This window comes from Homo sapiens, chromosome 19 (genome assembly GCF_000001405.40).
Source record: "Homo sapiens chromosome 19, GRCh38.p14 Primary Assembly".
In the NCBI taxonomy this organism is placed as follows: domain Eukaryota; kingdom Metazoa; phylum Chordata; class Mammalia; order Primates; family Hominidae; genus Homo; species Homo sapiens.
The window spans coordinates 32,357,537-32,375,834 of record NC_000019.10 but is presented as its reverse complement, the minus strand read 5'-3'; the positions used below and the strand labels follow the sequence as shown (position 1 = coordinate 32,375,834).

The 18,298-nt window shown below is 39.9% G+C and overlaps 1 protein-coding gene across 2 annotated transcripts in view, besides 1 other annotated feature; it reads right to left on the bottom strand.

Annotated features, from left to right (window-relative positions):
- Window positions 1-18,298, bottom strand: part of ZNF507 (zinc finger protein 507) — a 42,058-nt gene that overhangs the window by 11,833 nt on the left and 11,927 nt on the right. For both annotated transcript variants that reach the window (NM_001136156.2, NM_014910.5), the window contains one exon: window positions 15,217-15,331. In NM_001136156.2, coding sequence (NP_001129628.1) covers window positions 15,217-15,331 — 115 coding nt within the window. The remainder of the gene's footprint in view (window positions 1-15,216; window positions 15,332-18,298) is intronic.
- Window positions 6,718-7,012: a silencer, noted in NCBI's record as "tiled region #4314; K562 Repressive DNase matched - State 5:Enh". NCBI's record gives its function as "represses a minimal TATA promoter and a strong SV40 promoter by Sharpr-MPRA in K562 cells {active_cell/tissue: K562}" and the evidence as "EXISTENCE:reporter gene assay evidence [ECO:0000049][PMID:27701403]".

The window sequence follows — 18,298 nt, the reverse complement described above, 5'->3', positions numbered from 1 at the left end:
AGCAAAAAGGCATATTTTCATTGGTGTTGCTGAGACTAAATCTAAAAAAATCAATATTCATTTTTAAATTTCTGATTATGGAAATCGTTAAACAAAGGGAAAATTATAAATAAAAGTGATGAATCCGTACCATCCAGTTTCAATTAACTGATTGTCGGCATTTTGCTAATCTTGTTTCATGTATTCTAACTTAAAGTTGCCTGATTTTTGCAGACATGTCTTATTCAAATTAGGATCCAAATGAGATCTACATTTCATATTTGGTTGGTAAGTCTCTTAAGTCTCTTTTAATCTATAATATCTCTTCTTTCTTTCCCGTCACCCCTCATGCATGTATCTGTTGAAGATATCAGGCCCATCTGTCTTGCAGAATCTCTCACAGCATGGACTACACTGAGGACTTTCTGGTGATGTCGTTTATCACGTCCCTGTGTCCTTCATGTTTCTTGTGAACTGGGAGTGAGATCTAGAAGAGTTTCTTGGCCTCTGCATTCCTGACATTTGGGGCTAGATAATTCTTCACTGTGGCGGCTGTCTGGGGCACTGCAGGTTGTCCAGCAGCATCCCTAGCCTCTACTCACTAAATGCCAGTAGTGCTTTCTCCCTCAGTTGTGACAAACGCAGTAATGTCTCCAGACATCGGCAAATGTCCTCTGAGGGGGCAAAAGCCCTTAGTTGGGAACCAATGAGCTACATGTTTCATTAGATTCAAGGTCATATTTAATTTTTTTTTTTTTTACAAATATACTCCATGGGTATAGCTGTGTATTTCCTACTGCCATACTCAGGAGGCACTTAAACCAATAGCACCTAACCCAATATACATTCCTAATAAAACTTCTCTACAAAATAAAGTAGATGGATAATTCTTCAATATCATAAAAATATAACTTTCTCAACTCCAAAACTAGTATCAAGCTTAATTAGGAAACACCAGAAGCATTTCCATTAAGTTCAAGAACAGAACAAGGACATTTACTATCCCCACTGCTATGCAGTGTTGTGGAGGTACCAGCTAGGACAATCAGACAAGAGAAAGAAAGAAGAGGTATAGGCCGAGTGTGGTGGCTCATGCCTGTAATCCTAGCACTTTGGGAGGCTGAGGTGGGTGGATCACCTGAGGTCATGAGTTTGGGACCAGTCTGGCCAACATGGTAAAACCCTGTCTCTACCAAAAATACAAAAATTAGCCATGTGTGGTGGCGGGTGCCTGTAATCCCAGCTACTCAGGAGGCTGAGGCACGAGAATCTCTTGAACCCGGGAGGCAGAGGTTGCAGTGAGCTAAGATAACACCACTGCACCACTGCACTTCAGCCTGGGTGACAGCACAAGACTCTGTCTCAAGAAAAAAAAAAAAAAGAAAGAAAAGCTATAAATAGAAAGGAAAGTATGAGAAAATGATTTGCAGATAATATAATGATATACCTTAACAATCCAATAGAAAATTAAAAACTGTTACAAATAATAACTCAATAAAGCCACAAAACTAACATTCCGTCCAGATCAACAACTTTCTTATATGGAAACAATATTAAAATGCTAGCAAAATGCTAGCAAGAAGGAAAAAACTATTTATAACAGCAATGGAATAAAATAAAATACACAAGAAGAAGCCTAACAATGAGTGAGAGAAAGAGAGAGAGAGTGTGTGTGTGTGTGTGTGTTCCTTGCTTTGCACGGTTCCGAGCTGCATGAATTTCAGTTACTATGGCTTAGTTAAACATTATCAGTCCCCCGACAGGATGGTTCAAATTTCAGTTATTAACTACTATGGGAATACGAACTGTGAGTAACTGCAGAGAACAAACTTCACTGGCAGCTCTTCAGTCTACTATGTAAACAGAGATGCATCATGCCCAGTGACTAAGCAAGCCTTTCAAAGCTGGTGACTGGTCATTGTGCTATGCAGTTCACTTCCCGACAGCAAAACATGTAGTTATGCTGCATCCTTATCTCCCAATGCTAAACCTGCAGGACGTGTTACGAAAATGGATAGTCACAAGAGAGGAACTGGCCAACAAAATCGAAGTGCAGCAAAAACCCACAAAGTGATAATGCTGGAAGCAAAATTAGACATACATGTAAATGAATTCTAGAACAAATAAATAATTGGCCACAGGAATGTTGACACTGCTGCCACTGAAGAAAACTTGGGATATGCAGCCAGAGGATCTCAGTGAAAGTGAATTTAATGACGAGGTATGTAGTTCCTGAAGGAAGTTATGGCGGCCAAAAAGTTTGTGTTAAAGGAACTCTTGGAGACATTTCATGATGATGACAATTACTTAGAAAGGACAACTGACCACTTGCCAAAGGCATAGGAAAGATGCTCATTCTAGACTGCAAAGGATACAATGAGAAGGCAAGCACTGTTCAAACCACTCGATAAGTCTCTTACAAAGAGACAAAACATTTTATTTCTCAAAGTTCCTAAGTTTTAAATTACAGTGTGGTATGATCTGAATTTACGTGACCCACCCCCCACCGAAATTCCTATGTGGAAACTTAACCTCCAAAGGGATAGTATTAAGAGGTGGGGCCTTTGGAAGGTGACTAGGTCATGAGGGCAGAGACCTTGTGAATGTGAGTGGTATGATCTGAATGTATGTGCCCCCCCCGAAATTCCTATGTGGAAACTTAATCCCCAAAGGGATAATATTAAGAGGTGGGGACTTTGGAAAGTGACTAGGTCATGAGGGCAGAGGCCTTGTGAATACGATTAATGCCCTTATAAAAGAGGTTTAGGGGAGCTTTATTGCCCCTTCCAGCATGTCAGGATGCTGCAAAAAGGTGTTATTTATGAAGCAGGGAGCAGGCCCTCATCAGACACCAAAGCTGCTGACACCTTGAGCTTGGACTTCCCAGCCTCCAGAACCGTAAGCAACACATTTCTGTTGTTCATAAATTACCCAGTCTAAGGCACTTTGTTATAGCAGCCTGAAGGGACTAAGACACACAGCACCACAGTTTAGATATGGTCTGTTTGTCAACACCAAAACTAACGTTGAAATTTGATTCCCAATGTGGCTGTACTGGGAGGCAGGGCCTAGTGGGAGGTTTCTGTGTTTGGGGGTGGATCCCTCATGAATGGGATGTTGGTGTTTTTCTCTCGGTGGTGGGTGAGTTCCTGCTCTTCCAAGACTGGACTGGTTCTTGGAATGAGTTAGTTCTCTTGAGAGTGGGGTGTTATGAAGCCAGGACGCCCCTCAGTTCTTCCGTTCTTCGCATGTGTCCCCCCTTTTTTGACCTTCTCTGCCATGTTGTGACATAGCACAAAAACCTTCACCAGAAGCCAGGGCCAGGCCCTCAAACTTTTCGGCCTGCAGAACTGACAGCTGAAAAAAACGCCTTTTCTTCATGTGGAGCGTTGTGGGTGATCTGGTTTGCCATGCTATCAGAGCCCCTTGCTTATGGATTGTTAGTTTAAATTACTGAGCCAATTCCTGTCCACTCAACTGGTCAGCAAACGCTCTCTCTTTATTTAAACCCTTTTCTGATTATATAATCTATATTCCTTGCACAAAAATGGAATATAGGCAAGTATAAAGACAAATTCTAAAAAATTACTTGCATAGCTTCCTGGTCTTTTTTAATGTACATATGTAGATCTGAAGCAAAAGTAGAATCATACTATAGATTTTTAATCCTACTTTTGACAATGTTCCATGAGTATTTTCTCAAGTTAAAAATTATGCATTTTCAATGGGGTATAATGTTCCATCCTATGAAAATACACTCTACTAAGTAGCATAGAGCTAGAATGTTTTTGATCTTTTTGACATTATAAACAATGCTATAACAAATTATCTTGCACATCAATATAAATGCACTGCAGATTATTTTTTAGGATAGAGTTCATTTCCCCCGCAAGACTCCTTAAGAATAATAAAGAATGGACTGGGCGTGGTGGCTCATGCCTGTAATCCCAGCACTTTGTGAGGCCGAGGCAGGCGGTTCACGAGGTCAGGAGATTGAGACCATCCTGGCTAACACGGTGAAACCCCGTCTCTACTAAAAATATAAAAAATTAGCCAGGTATGGTAGCGGGCGCCTGTAATCCCAGCTACTTGGGAGGCTGAGGCAGGAGAATGGCGTGAACCTGGGAGGCAGAGCTTGCAGTGAGCCGAAATCACGCCACTGCACTCCAGCCTGGGCGACAGAGCGAGACTCCATCTCAAAAAAAAAAAAAATAATAATAATAATAATAAACAATTAACACTCCTAGTTGAGACACAGAACATTACCAATATACCTTTGAGACTCCCTGTGTGCCTCACCTCAATTGCCTCCCCTTCCTTTCCAGAGATAAGAACGTTCCTGGGCTGACGGGCACAGTCATTTTTTTTTTTTTTTTGAGATGGGAGTTTCGCTTTTGTTGCCCAGGCTGGAGTGCAATGGTGCAATTGATCTTGGCTGACTGCAACCTCCCCCTCCCAGGTTCAGGTGATTCTCCTGCCTCAGCCTCCCAAGTAGCTGGGATTACAGGAATGCACTACCATACCTGGCTAATTTTGTATTTTTAGTAGAGACAGGATTTCTCCATGTTGGTCAGCCTGGTCTCGAACTATCGGCCTCAGGTGATCCACCCGCCTCAGCCTCCCAAAGTGCTGGGATTACAAGCGTGAGCCACCGCGCCCGGCTGGGCACAGCCATTTTTAAGGCTCTGATCTGTACATGTAGTACCCAGAAAAAGGAGAAATGATAGAAAATATGTTTTGACAGTATGGTAAGGGCATAAAAACAGAAGTGCAGATCCATGGAACAGAATAAATGGCCCAGAAATAAATCTAAAAATACACAGTCAATGAATATTTGACAAGGGCACCAAGAGGACATAATGGAGAAAGAACAGTCTCTTCAATAAATGGTGCTGGGAATACTGGATATCCACATGCAAAAGGATTAAACTGGACCCATATCTTACATCATCCACAGCAATCAACTCAAAATGGGTAAAATAGCTGAATGGAATATCAGAAACCATCAAATTCCTAGAAGAGAATACAAGGAAAAATCTCGCTGCAGTGGCAATGATTTTTTGGTTATGATACCAAAAGCTCAGGCTACAAAAGCACAAATAAATAAATGGGACAACATCAAACCAAAAAACTTCTGCACAGCAAAGAAAACAATCAACAAAATGAAAGAGTAACCTAAAGACTGCAAAAAAAATATCTGCAAACCACATATCCGATAAGGGGTTAATATCCAAAATTTATAAAGAACACTTATAACTCAATAGCAGAAGGACAAATAACTCGATTAAAAAATGGGCAAAGGACCTGAACAGATATTTCTCCAAAGACATAAAAACTGCAACAGTGATATGAAAACGTGCTCAACATCACTAATCATCAGGGAAACACAAATTAAAACCACTAGGAAATGATAACCTGTTAGGATGACTATTATCAAAGACAAAAGAGAGAATAAATGTTGGCAAAGGTGTAGGGAAAAGGAAATCCTACTACACTGTTGGTGACAATGTAGATTGGTACGGCCATGAAAAATAGTATGGAGGTTCCTAAAGAAATTAAAAACAGAACTACCACACGACCCAGAAATCCCTCTTCTGTGTAGGAGATGAGATCGCCACCTCACCAGGTATCTGCCTTTCCATGTTCAGTGCAGCATTCCTCACAAAAACCAAGGTATGGAAACAACCTAAGTGTCCACTGACGGACAAACGGATAAAGAAAACGTGACGTGCACGCGCGTGCGCACACACGTATGCACGCACACACACATACTCAATCATTCCGCCTTAAAAAGGGAGAGCCTGCCTTTTGCCACAACATGGATGGCCCTGGAGGCCTCATGCTAACAAGCCAGACACAGAAAGACAAATATTGTTCAATCTTACTTAAAAATCCAATACACACACACACAGAGAAGGAAGGAGTGGTTACCAGGGGCTGGGGGTGGGGAGGGAGAGAAGATTCCGGCATACAAAGCAGCAGGTATATAGGATGAACTTGTCTAGAGACCTAATACACAGCATGAGGACTGTAATCAAAATGTGCTGTATTAGGAATTTTTGTTAAATAAGTAGATTTTAACTGCTTTTGCCACAAAAAAGTACGTAAGATGATAGATATGCTGATTTGCTTCACTATAGTAACCATTTTACTATCTACATCTTATACATCATATTGTTAACCTCCAATATATACAATAACATGTATTAAAAAACAAAACAAAAAAAAAAGAAAGTATGTTTTGAAACAGAGGCTATGTCTAACAAATCATTTCTAACCACCTCACCAACAGACCAGCAACAATCATATTTCCACGTAGGGTAAACTGCTCCTTCCTATCCCAACCCATCCATTGGCCAAAAAAAGTCTTAAACCAAAACGAAACCACATGACAAAAGAGCACACTGATCATGACACCACCTGTCACGATTCTGCTTTGCTTCCTTGGTGGAATTGCTGGATGCTCCTGATGACAGAGCCATTTGGGACTCAATTATTCAAGTCTACCAAGGCAAAGTCATACACATGACATGGGGAAAGAAGTGAACACCCTAACAGTGTGATTGCTGGACTCCTAGAGTGGCCTGTAAATATGGCCATTGCTAGATCCAGGCTTTGGAATGTCCAAAGCAGCACAATTTCTATGTTAACCAATAACACCCAACCTGTATCTGTATAAAAAATGATTTCTTCCCAATGCAAAGAAGCTACTTTGGCAACCCAAAGAAAGCCAATGTAGAAACCCAAGGCTTCTTATAACTTGGCTAAAAAGCCTGAGACTGAATTTTTCTACAGACTCTCCAACTGTTACTAAGTCAGTTACTTCGGTCTCAGAACCCCAAGGAGATAAGGATGTTGGTTTAAAACCCCCCACTTTCCTGGCCTGGGACCAAGGTTAGTTTCCAGGTCAACTGCCTTGAGGGCTTAGATGGAAAAAAGCAGATGGATGTCCTACAAGATTTGGGGTGACCTGAGTCTGGTTTGAACACATAAACAACGATTTCAATAGAAATTTTGCAATAGAGCTTATCTTATGACCTTCAATTCATTTTCTATGCTTTTAAAGAAATAACTAAGGCCCCCACAAAACAGCCACTTCAAATTTTGTGATGAACCTGAGAGATCTTTATGCCACTGAGAAAAACAAACTCTTTCAGTTCATCTCTTCAAAACAAAATATATATTTTTTCCTCCTGATAAAACTATCTCCTTCACTATTTTCCTTAAACAAATTGAAGCTTTCTAAAGACTTAAGTTTTTCCCTAAGCCAACACATTGACTAAAGAATCACGATGCCTACAGATGAAAAAAGACTGAAGCCTGTAACTCTGGTGGAAGTGATGGGCTGTGACTGCCAAGGTTAGGTCATAAAAGGCAACAGAGCTTTTGCCTACTTCTTATCTAAGAAGCTCATTTTGGGGACTAGCAGACCTGCAAAGTCCACAAGGAGAAATCATGTATGTGTTCCAGCTGATGCCCAACCAACAGCCAGCACAGCCACCAGCCTATGCTGAGGCAGCATTCAGAGGACTGTCACCCTAGCTGTCTGGGTCACTTCCAGCCTTCAAGCCTTCCCTGATGAGACCCCAGACTGTATGGGACAAGCCATCTCTACTGCGTCCTTTCCAAATTCCTGACCGACCCACAGAATCCCTGAGCATAATGAAATTGCTTCTGTTTCACACCCTGATTTGGTGTGGGCTGCTGGCATGCAGCAGCAGTACACTTCATAAAGAGATCTCCCTGGTGTAGCACAGACAGGCAGGATGACACAGTTATTAGGAGCAAGAGTTCAGGCCCCGGCTCTGAGACATGGGGAAAGTTATTTAAGCTAGCCCAGCCTCTGTTTCCATGTCTACAAAATTGGGGTAGTAATATTCCTAAGTACTGGGCTGCTGTGAGGACTGAACTGACACGTATTGAATGCTTAGCACACCGGGTCTGGCCCACAAACAATCTTCTCAAAAATATCAGCTATTATCATCATTTCTAATATACTTCTATTTATACAAATCCCATACAATAACTGACTACACTGAGAGACAACCTTATCATTTCCATTCCAAACTGTCATTCCCCCTGCTGAAAGCCTTTCTGGAATGTTTTCTGTTTAGATTTTTTTAGCTTTAGTGCCATATTAGTAAATGAGGCTCAGTAATACCTAAGCACGCATAGTTGATGTGCCATCCCTGAAAATCAGCACACATTTTTATTTCTGTATCATCGTCTACCTTACTCAACAGACTATTTCAAAAAATCAAAACTAGTTTCAGAATATAAGAACACAAAAGTCCTAAACACAAAGAAAAAGATTAATACATTTGACTATATTAAACTGGAAATGTCTGTTCATCAAAAGACATCATTAAGAAAGTAGAAAGGCAAGCCACAGTTAGATGACATCTGCAATACGCCCCACAAAGGCCTTGTACTCAGAATACATGAAGAGCTCCTGCAAATCAGTAAGAAAACAGCCGATGATACAGTTTGGATATTTGTCCTTTCAAATCTCATGTCGAAATTTGATCCCCAATGTTGGAGGTAAAGCCTGGGCAGAGGCGACTGGGTCATGGGGATGGATCCCTTACGAATGGCTTGGTGTAGCCATTCATGAATAATGAGTTCTCTGTCTGTTACTGCAAGATCTGACTGTTAAGAAGAGCCTGTACCTCCTCCCCTCTCTCTTGCTCCATGTCTCACAATGTGACATATCTGCTCCCGCTTCACCTCTGTCATGACTGGAAGCCTCCTGAGACCCTCACCAGAAGCAGAGGACAGCCTGCAGAACCATAAGCCAAATAAACCTCTTCTTTATAAATTACCCAGCCTCAGGTATTCCCTTATAACAATGCCAAACTAATACAATAGACAATGCAAAAAAGAAGTGGGCAATAATAGCCCATAAACAAATGAAAAGATGCTCAAACTCAGAAATTATCAGGGAAATGCAAACAAAAGCACAGTAATACACTGCTATACATCTACCAAAACAATAAAGATTAAAGACTGACAACACAAAGTGCTGGTGAGGATGTGAATAGGTACAACCATTTTGGAAAACTGTTGACACTGTCTACCAAAGCTGAATACATATACATGTCCAATTACCAAGAAATTCCACCCCTAGGTATAAACCCAATGGAAATGGACTCATTTCATATATGTGCCCAAAAACATGTAAAAGAATGTTAAAATGGTATCAGATCATATCAGGGAGGAAAACCTTACAATAACTCAAATGTCTATTCACAGAACAATGAATAAATTGCGGTGGTCTTAACAGTGGAATACTATGTAACAATGAAATGCAATTCTGCTAGGTGGAACTATACAGACACACACATACACACACGTTGAGCAAAAAAATCTGAACATAAAGTAGAATATGTACTGTATGATTCCATTTTTATTAAGTTCAGAAACAGAAAACACTAATTGATAATGTTAGAAGTCAAGATAGTGGATACCAGACAGAGGGGAGGGGTGGGTAATGACTGGAAGGCCCACGAAGGGGTGCTGCTGAAGAGCTCATAATGGTTTGTGTTACAAGCATGAGTTTAATTTGTGATTATTCATCAGCTGTACCTTTATGATTTATGCAATTTTCAGGAGGCATGGTAACATCAATTATAAAATCTATTTAAAAAATTTAGAGGGAGGGAGGGAGAGAGAGACTTAAGATACTCTCTTAATAGAGCGGCTGGACCTTGTTTGGTTCTCAATATGAAAAAGCTACCTCCAAAAGTATGTTTTGAAACAATTAGGGGAAAATGGGTATTTTTGGACTGGGTATTAAAAAAAATTCATCTTATATTATTTGGGCAGCTATTCTACTTAAGGAAGAAAAGGCGTAATAATACCACTACACATTTATTTTCAAGCACAAATTAAACTTACACAAAAAGCTTATAGAATCAGACCCATTTTATAGATGGGAAGAACTGAGGGATATGGACAACTATCAGTCAACATTTACCGAGCACCTACTATGTCCCGGGCAGTGTGTGGAGTACTTGAGCCCAAAGCCCATGTACTTCCCTTGACATCATGCTGTCCCCCTGCCACAGTACAGTTTCAGAACCTAAGCACAGTACAGTTGTATTTCTAAGGGAAAATGGGTTCCATGCCTTATGGTTAAAAAGAAACTGATACTCTTAGGACAATGTTTTGTTCTCCCATCTTGTTCTCTACAAAAGTGGTACTGGGAGATGTAAATCAGGGCAGGTCCAGCAGTGCAATATTGAACTAAACCAAGGACCATCTAATATGAAAAATTTTGAGTGGAACTTTTCAGTAAAACTTTGGGGCCAATGTTATAAATGTCAGGTATAATCTCTCACCTTATACAAAAATCAACTCAAGATGGATTAAGGACTTAAACCTAAGACCTGAAACTACAAAAATTCTAGAAGATAACATTGGAAAAACCCTTCTAGACACTGGCGTAGGCAAGGATTTCATGACCAAAACCCCAAAAGCAATTGCAATAAAAACAAAGATAAATAGCTGTATCTAATTAAAGAGCTTTGGCAAAGCAAAAGGAACAGTCAGCAGAGTACACAGACAACCCAGAGTGGGTGAAAATCTTCACAATCTATACATCTGACAAAGGACTAATATCCAGAATCTACAATGAACTCAAACAAATCAGTAGGAAAAAAACAATCAATCCCATCAAAAAGTGGGCTAAGGACATAAATAGACAATTCTCAAAAGAAGATACGCAAATGGCCAACAAACATATGAAAAAATCATTAACGATCAGGGAAATGCAAATCAAATGCAACATCACTAATGATCAGGGAAATGCAAATCAAAACCACAGTGTGATACCACCTTACTCCTGTAAGAATGGCCATAATCAAAGAATCAATAAACAGTAGATGTTGGTGTGGATGTGGCGATAAGGAACACTTCTACACGGTTGGTGGGAATGCAAACTAGTACAGCCACTATGGAACAGTGTAGAGATTCCTTAAAGAACTAAAAGTAGAACTACCATTTGATCCAGCAATCCCAGGAAAAGAAGTCATTATTGGAAAAAGATGCTTGCACGCGCAAGTTTATAGCAGCACAATTCACAATAGCAAAATCGTGGAACCAACCCAAATGCCCATCAATCAACGAGTGGATAAAGAACTCGGAGATATATATATATGATTGAATACTACTCAGCCATAAAAAGGAATGAATTAACAGCATTTGCAGTGACCTGGATGAGATTAGAGACTATTATTCTAAGTGAAGTAACTCAGGAATGGAAAACCAAACATCGTATGTTCTCACTGATACGTGGGAGCTAAGCTATGAGGACGCAAAGGCATAAGAATGATAAAATGGCTTTGGGGACTTGGGGGGAAAGAGTGGGAGGAGGGCGAGGGATAAAAGACAACAAATATGGTGCTGTGTATACTGCTCGGGTGATGGATGCACCAGGTTCTCACAAATTACCACTGAAGAACTTACTCATGTAACCAAACACCACCTGTACCTCAACAACTTATGGAAAAATAAAATTTAAAAAAGAAAAAAAAAGAAATGTCAGGTATAACTATAATTGGTGTATGGTTTACACAGAGTAAGAACAAAGTTATTAATAGCTGCATTGGTAGGCACTGGGATAGAATGATGTCATTTTAATCTTTCCCTGTCCTTCCACAGGAATGGAAAACAGCTCTCTTTTTTTCTGGGTAAGAACAGGGCTTCTGAGATAATCTGACAACTTCATGAGCAGAAAATGGGAACAAGCCCCTTCAATGCACCAAGTAACATGCTGGGTACTTCATAAATATAATCTCACCTAATCTTCACAAAGCCTTATGAGCGGGGAAGTATTCTCCCGAGTTTCGTATGGGAAAAGAGGCTTAGTATGGCATAACATTCCCAAGGTCCCCAGTGGGGCACAGAAACTGTGTGGTCCAGGCCTGTGATGCTCCCAAGATACTAGAGTGACTCCAGAGCAGCCAGACATAGCATGGGGACCTCAGCAGGGACAGCACTCTGCCTGGGCCCAGCATCTCTTTTGTAAAATGAGCTCTGCCTGCCTACCCTGGCACAGAATTAATTCTTCTTTGTTTCCCTAGTGTTTAGAGGTCATCAGCCTTTTAGTACTTTTCTTTGGTTAGATAATGAATTATTGAGAAGATAAAAGCTGGGCCCAGTAACTACCAGCTACCACTTACTGGCTGTTTATTATGTGCTGGTACCTTAGGTATTTTATTTCACCCTCACAACCTTAATATCCTCATTCTATTAACGACAAAAGCAGCACAGAGAGGTGAAACAGTTTGCGCAAGATCACAAATCTCACAAGTGGGAGAGCTCAGATTCAATCCCAGGACTATCTGCCCCCAGAACCAGGGATCCATGAAGCCGTACTGCCCAGACCACAAGGATGGGGTCATTGAAGGACTGGAATGACAGCATAAAAAGCAAAAGCACGAGAAAGGAACAGGTTTCACCACTACAGAAAACTTGTTATGTAATAGGCACACTAAAATAAACAATAAATCTTTTGTGCCCTTGTGCAAAGTTTAGAAGTTGTGCAACAAGGCCTTGTAGCTCTTTAAGAACTCATTACTGCTGCCTGTGAGCATGTTTCTTAACAAAATGTAGGGAATCAGAAATGCATAGGATATGGCATGAACTCTGAGAAACCAAGCCCAAACTCTGACCATAAGTGCACCAGGCAACGAAACTGAATGAAGCAGACATGAAATGAGCCAGAGAAACTCCTGTGATCCTTGAATTAAGTCAGACATTATAAAGGCTACGCTACCAGCTCCGCTTAAAGCACACAGTATAGGACAACGAGGAGAAAGTCCTAGAAACATCCTGGAATAGAACATGTTAATCCGTAATGCTCTGCGACCAGAAATCCCATGAAGGCAAAGGATGGTGAGTATTTAAAGAAAGTTAAAAGGAGAGCCATGACATTAGAAAATAAGACTTATGAGGAAAAACTGATAATAAGTACAAAGAGGGAGATATGACAAAACTGTATCTAAGGCATAACCACACCAAACCCAGTGACAAAGTGGAGTGTGAATAAATTTGGAAAATAACAGACTGAGAGTTCTCTGATGTTACACAAAGAGGATGCTCACGGGATGTTGCCCGTTGGTAGGAAGACCCTAGGACAACTGCAATGAATCCTATGAATCTGTGAATATTTTAAGAACACAAGAAAACATCCCTGAGACACTGACAGCTATCAAAATGAATCTTTAAGCTGCAAGACTGATCTAATAAAGCAGATGTAAAACCTTCAACAGAACTAGAATCGCTAACCTTTTTCCTAAGTATTTGAGGGTTTACTTGCTTATTGTTTGTCTACAAGTTCCATGACAGCAAAGATGACGTCTGTTTTGTTATGACTGTAGTCCAAGAATCTAGCACGGCCCCTGAAGCATAATATTTGCTCAATAAATATTTCTCCATGAATGAAAGAACAATCTAATTCTGGACCCGGAGAAATGTTATTTTCTTCTTACTTAAATCACATGAATCTGGCACGGTATGTCTAAATTCAAGGATACCAAAAATATAAAGGCAAAGCTTTCTCCTCCTATCAGGTAAACTAGTGTTCCCTGTTTCCATCACATTCTCCTAAACATTTCCCAGTATAAATCACGAATGTAAATATACTCAGTCCCACCTATTAAATAGACTGATTGGACATGGTGTAACCATGTAATCCCAGCACTTTGGGAGGCCAAGGTGGGCGGACACTTGAGGCCAGGAGTTCAAGACCTGGCGAAACCCCGTCTCTAATTAGCTAATCATGGCACATGCCTGTGGTCCCAGCTACTTGGGAGGCTGAGGCATGAGAATCACTTGAACCCGGGAGGCGGAGGTTGCCGTGAGGTGAGATCACTCCACTGCACTCCAGCCTGGGTGATGACAGAGCGAGACTCTGTCAAAGAAAAAAAGGAAGGAAGGAAGGAAGGAAGGAGGGAGGGAGGGAGGGAGGGGAGGGAAAGGAAAGGAAGGAAAGGAAGGAAGGAAAGGAAGAAAGGAAAGGAAGAAAGGAAAGGAAGGAAGGAAACGAAGGAAGGAAAGGAAGGAAGGAGGGAGGGAGAGAGGGAGGGAGGGAAGAAAAGGAAAGGAAGGAAAGGAAAGGAAGGAAAGGAAGAAAGGAAAGGAAGGAAGGAAAGGAAGGAAAGGAAGGAAGGAAAGGAAGGAAGGAAGAAAAGAAGGAAGGAAGGAAAGAAGGAAGGAAGGAAGACACTGAGGAGGACTGAGGCAAGGTCAAACACCTTCCACAGAGTTTTAAGACTCTGCAAACAGATGTACTTTCTGAAGAGTGATTATAAGTAAGTCTGCTGGTTTGCAAATTAAGCACATATTAAATATTCGAAACCATACACAGATCACCACACTTTGGGATTAAACAATGACCTTTTATGGCACAATCTGTCAGGTTTTCATTGAGATTAATACAATAACTTTCCCACACTCACTTGTATCATATCTACAGAATCTGGGGAGAGAGTTAAACCTGCTAAGTTTTGACAAGGGGGTGAAAGTTCATGCGCATTGCCTAGCACTATCACTGAGAATGCCTATATTTTCTGAAATATATATCTGAATTTGCTTTTGGGAAAAATCAAGTAATGAAATTAAATGACTTATTCTACACATACTAGCTTAATTTTGAAAAATGGACTCTTTCATAGAAAATTTTATTGCCTTTAAGTTTTAAGGATCTTTTGCTGAATACTGAGTACCTTACTGCCAAATTACTGAAATGAACTCTAAGGCATTGAAAATTGCTATGAAATTTATACCCATATGAAATGAAAACATAAAATTGACAGATAAAGACAATTTCCTATGTATCAACTAGACAAAATGCCTACTGTCCTAAGATTCAAGCTTAAAGTTCACATCTTAACAAATCAAACAAGACATAATACCAGCCAGGTGCAGTGGCTCACGCCTGCAATCCCAGCACTTTGGGAGGCTGATGTGGGAGGATCCCTTGAGGCCAGGAGTTCGAGGCTGCAGTGAGCTGTGATCATACCACTGCACTCCAGCCTGGGCAATACAGCAAGACACTGACTCAAAAAATAAATAAGTAAATATATAAAACAACAAAATATAAAACCAATTAGTGAAAATTTCTTACTTCTTAACCTGTGTTTCAGTAAGTGCTATACATTTTTATTTCATTTTATTTCTTTAATATAAAATATTTTAATACAAACATTAAAATTCTAGAATCATAACACTTACCTGTACGGCTTATCAGAGTTATGGATTCGCCTGTGGTTTCTGACACCAACATATGTTGTACTTGTATAATCACACACATCACATCTATATTGTTTCTGGACTGAAGACTTATTCCCTAGACAAGGTATTTCAGAGTTTTAGTAGCAGGCTTTGACAAGATTCAAATGACAGCATTTACATTCCATTGTAAATGAAAATTTATACCACACAGTTGTATTAATATTTCAATCACGGCTTTCTCACTGTTTTAACAAGTCTGAAGTGGTTTTATAGGTTTTCCTGCATATACACTATCAGCAGATATAAACTGAACATCATCTGACCTATAAACACAGATAGGTTGGGATGATTCCTGCATAACCATGTACAATATTCTAAGTCATAATGAACTTGCTTCTGGCTATGTAGGAGCTAAATTAATCAGAGACACCCTGTTGATCTGTATCACCAAATAGGTGTTACTCTAACCAATATTGGATATACTGTCTTACAGAAACACTGACTTGACAACAAGCTGTAATTTAATACTATACTCCAATATTATAAAGTGTGGCTATGAAGCATATATAACCAACTCAATATAAAAAGCCTGGCTAGGTGTGGTGGCTCATGCCCATAATCCTAGTACTCTGGGAGGCTGAGGTGGGAGGACTGCCGGAGGCCAGGAGCTGGAGACCAGCCTGGGCAACAGAGCAAGAGATCTCTCCCCCACTCTCACCCTACAAAAAAAAAGCCTAAGGCCTTTTCACCCAGTGCATTTTCTTTGTTTACCACTAAACGTCAGCTACCAACGCAACAAGAAAGGAAAAGCGGCCGCAAATTTTTAAGTGCTATGCAATGTATAATTCTTTCTAGTTAACTGACAGGTTACAGGGACAAAGGTTATGACTGACATGAATATGCAGCTCTCCGAAACGCAGGAGACATGGATCCAACGAAAAGTAGCCATGTTACTAAACTCACTCTGCAACAACAGGGCTGAGTAATTCAAGTTGGGGTAAGCTTATGTCAACACGAGTTGAGTGACTTGATCATATAAAACGATTTCTTGAAGATATTCAACGCTTCATGTACTTGTCTGTCAGCATACAGTCCACAGGCTATTCACACTCTGCTTTATATTCAGAAACAAAGCAAGCATGGAAGCTCATGAAAAAGGCAGAGCAGGAAGAACTGTGTGTCTCTTGGCAGGAAGAAAGCTTAGGTAGAACACCTGTATACACCGCATAAAAGTAAAATCCGTGGTATTATACAAAGGAAAACCCACACTGAAATTTCAACAAAGAAAATCCTTAAGTTAAATTTACGGTTTCTAAAATTGAAATTTTCTTTTGCTAATAACTACTGCCAAGCAGAACAAAATGTCCTAATTTCCTGGTATAAATCTATAACGTTAATATACACACTAATCATAATTATAATCTAAGTATTGCTCTTAATTGGTAGGTTAAAAACTTGGACTTGATTATAAATGGCACTGTTCCAAATACAGTTTTAAAAAAACCCTAAAAAATGAAGTGTGAAATATTGGATAATGGTTTTGTGTGAGAAATATTACAGATCAATGACAACTAATAAAACTGACAGATGGAAAAACTTAATATAGCACAGAATGAGAGCCTGTGCTACTTCAAGCAACTGTTTCCAATGGAAAGAATATTGGATTTAAAGTTCAAAAACTTGGGCTTAGTCCTCGCTCTGCCACTTTCTACCAGTATGATCATGGGTAAATTATTTTGCCTCTTGAAGTCTCAGTTTTCTCATCTACAAATTGGAAATGCTAGAACCTCACAGCATAGTTTAGTAAGTCCTATATTTTTCCTTTAGCAAAGTCTGTACTTTACCTGCATGTCTGGGTAAAATCTCTGCCCTGCCACTAAGCTGTCTATTCCCTGAGGATAAGGATCTGCTTGTTTTGTTTAGACTGAATCCCCAGCGCTTGGCAAATTATAGGTTTCCAATAAAAAACAATTTAATTAGGTTTCATGGAGTAACACCATACGAAAGGGCTTTGCTTGCGGCTCTATTTGAGCTCCTGCGGTATCTGCTGACATACCCATCAGCCTCGTTCTGTCTTCTTCACTGAGTTGGATTCCTGAAGGGCAGTGATGCCTTTCACTGTACTCCCAGCACCTAACACAGTATCTAGCTCAAGACAGGCAGGCCATGCCTTTTGGCCAAGCAAATGTTAAGCTGAAACATGCCCTAAGGTATCTGTGCTATCTGAATGGCAGAGACTGAGGATCACAGAGGCACAAATCTCTCTTCTTGTTTAACAAGTTTACTAAATAGGTAAAGAAGTTTTAACAAAGCATGAATTATTATTACCTTATTTGTGAGCTAAAAATTTTTTCTTTGGCCTGACAACCAGATTTCAAAATATCTAATATTGAGTTAATAAAGTACCCATCCAGGTATAAGTATGCAGCCATTTGAACTGCTACAGTACTGAGAGAAAAAAGCAAATGGAGCCAGGTGGAGGAAAAGAGGCATGGCAGGCAATTTAAAAATCCATGCATGTAACCCTAAAAAAAAAGCATGAGCCACAAAGAAAAGATGCTGCAACATAAAATCTAGTAAACATTCATTAATACTGTAAAGTCTGAAGTGGTTATTTTAATTTTGAGCTGACACTTTAATCTTTTTATTAAAATTGTGAATTTTAATGTTAACTCATTTGGACAGTTTGAAATGTTTGCTTTTTAGGACGGTGCTAAAAAAGACATCTTCCAACACTGATATTAACTGCAGGTGGTGCTACTGAGTAGTATTTACTTCATCCTTTCATTAGGGATTTATGGTCCAATCATATCAGACGTTTTAATGTCTCCTTTAAAGGGGATATGGAAACATAATGAATTAAAATAAAAGGAGGCATTTAGGGCTATTTTGTAAAAAGGAAACAAAACTGTTTTAGCTCAGCCATCTACTGCAAAAACAGATGCTATATCATAAACTCCTTTTGTTTCAGAGAGTTTTACAGGGATGACATCTGTTTGACATGAGAATTTTGGTGCTACAGTGGTGTCAAAATCAGTTCTTTCAGAAGCATTCTAGAATCAGTTATGCTTTCTGGGGTATA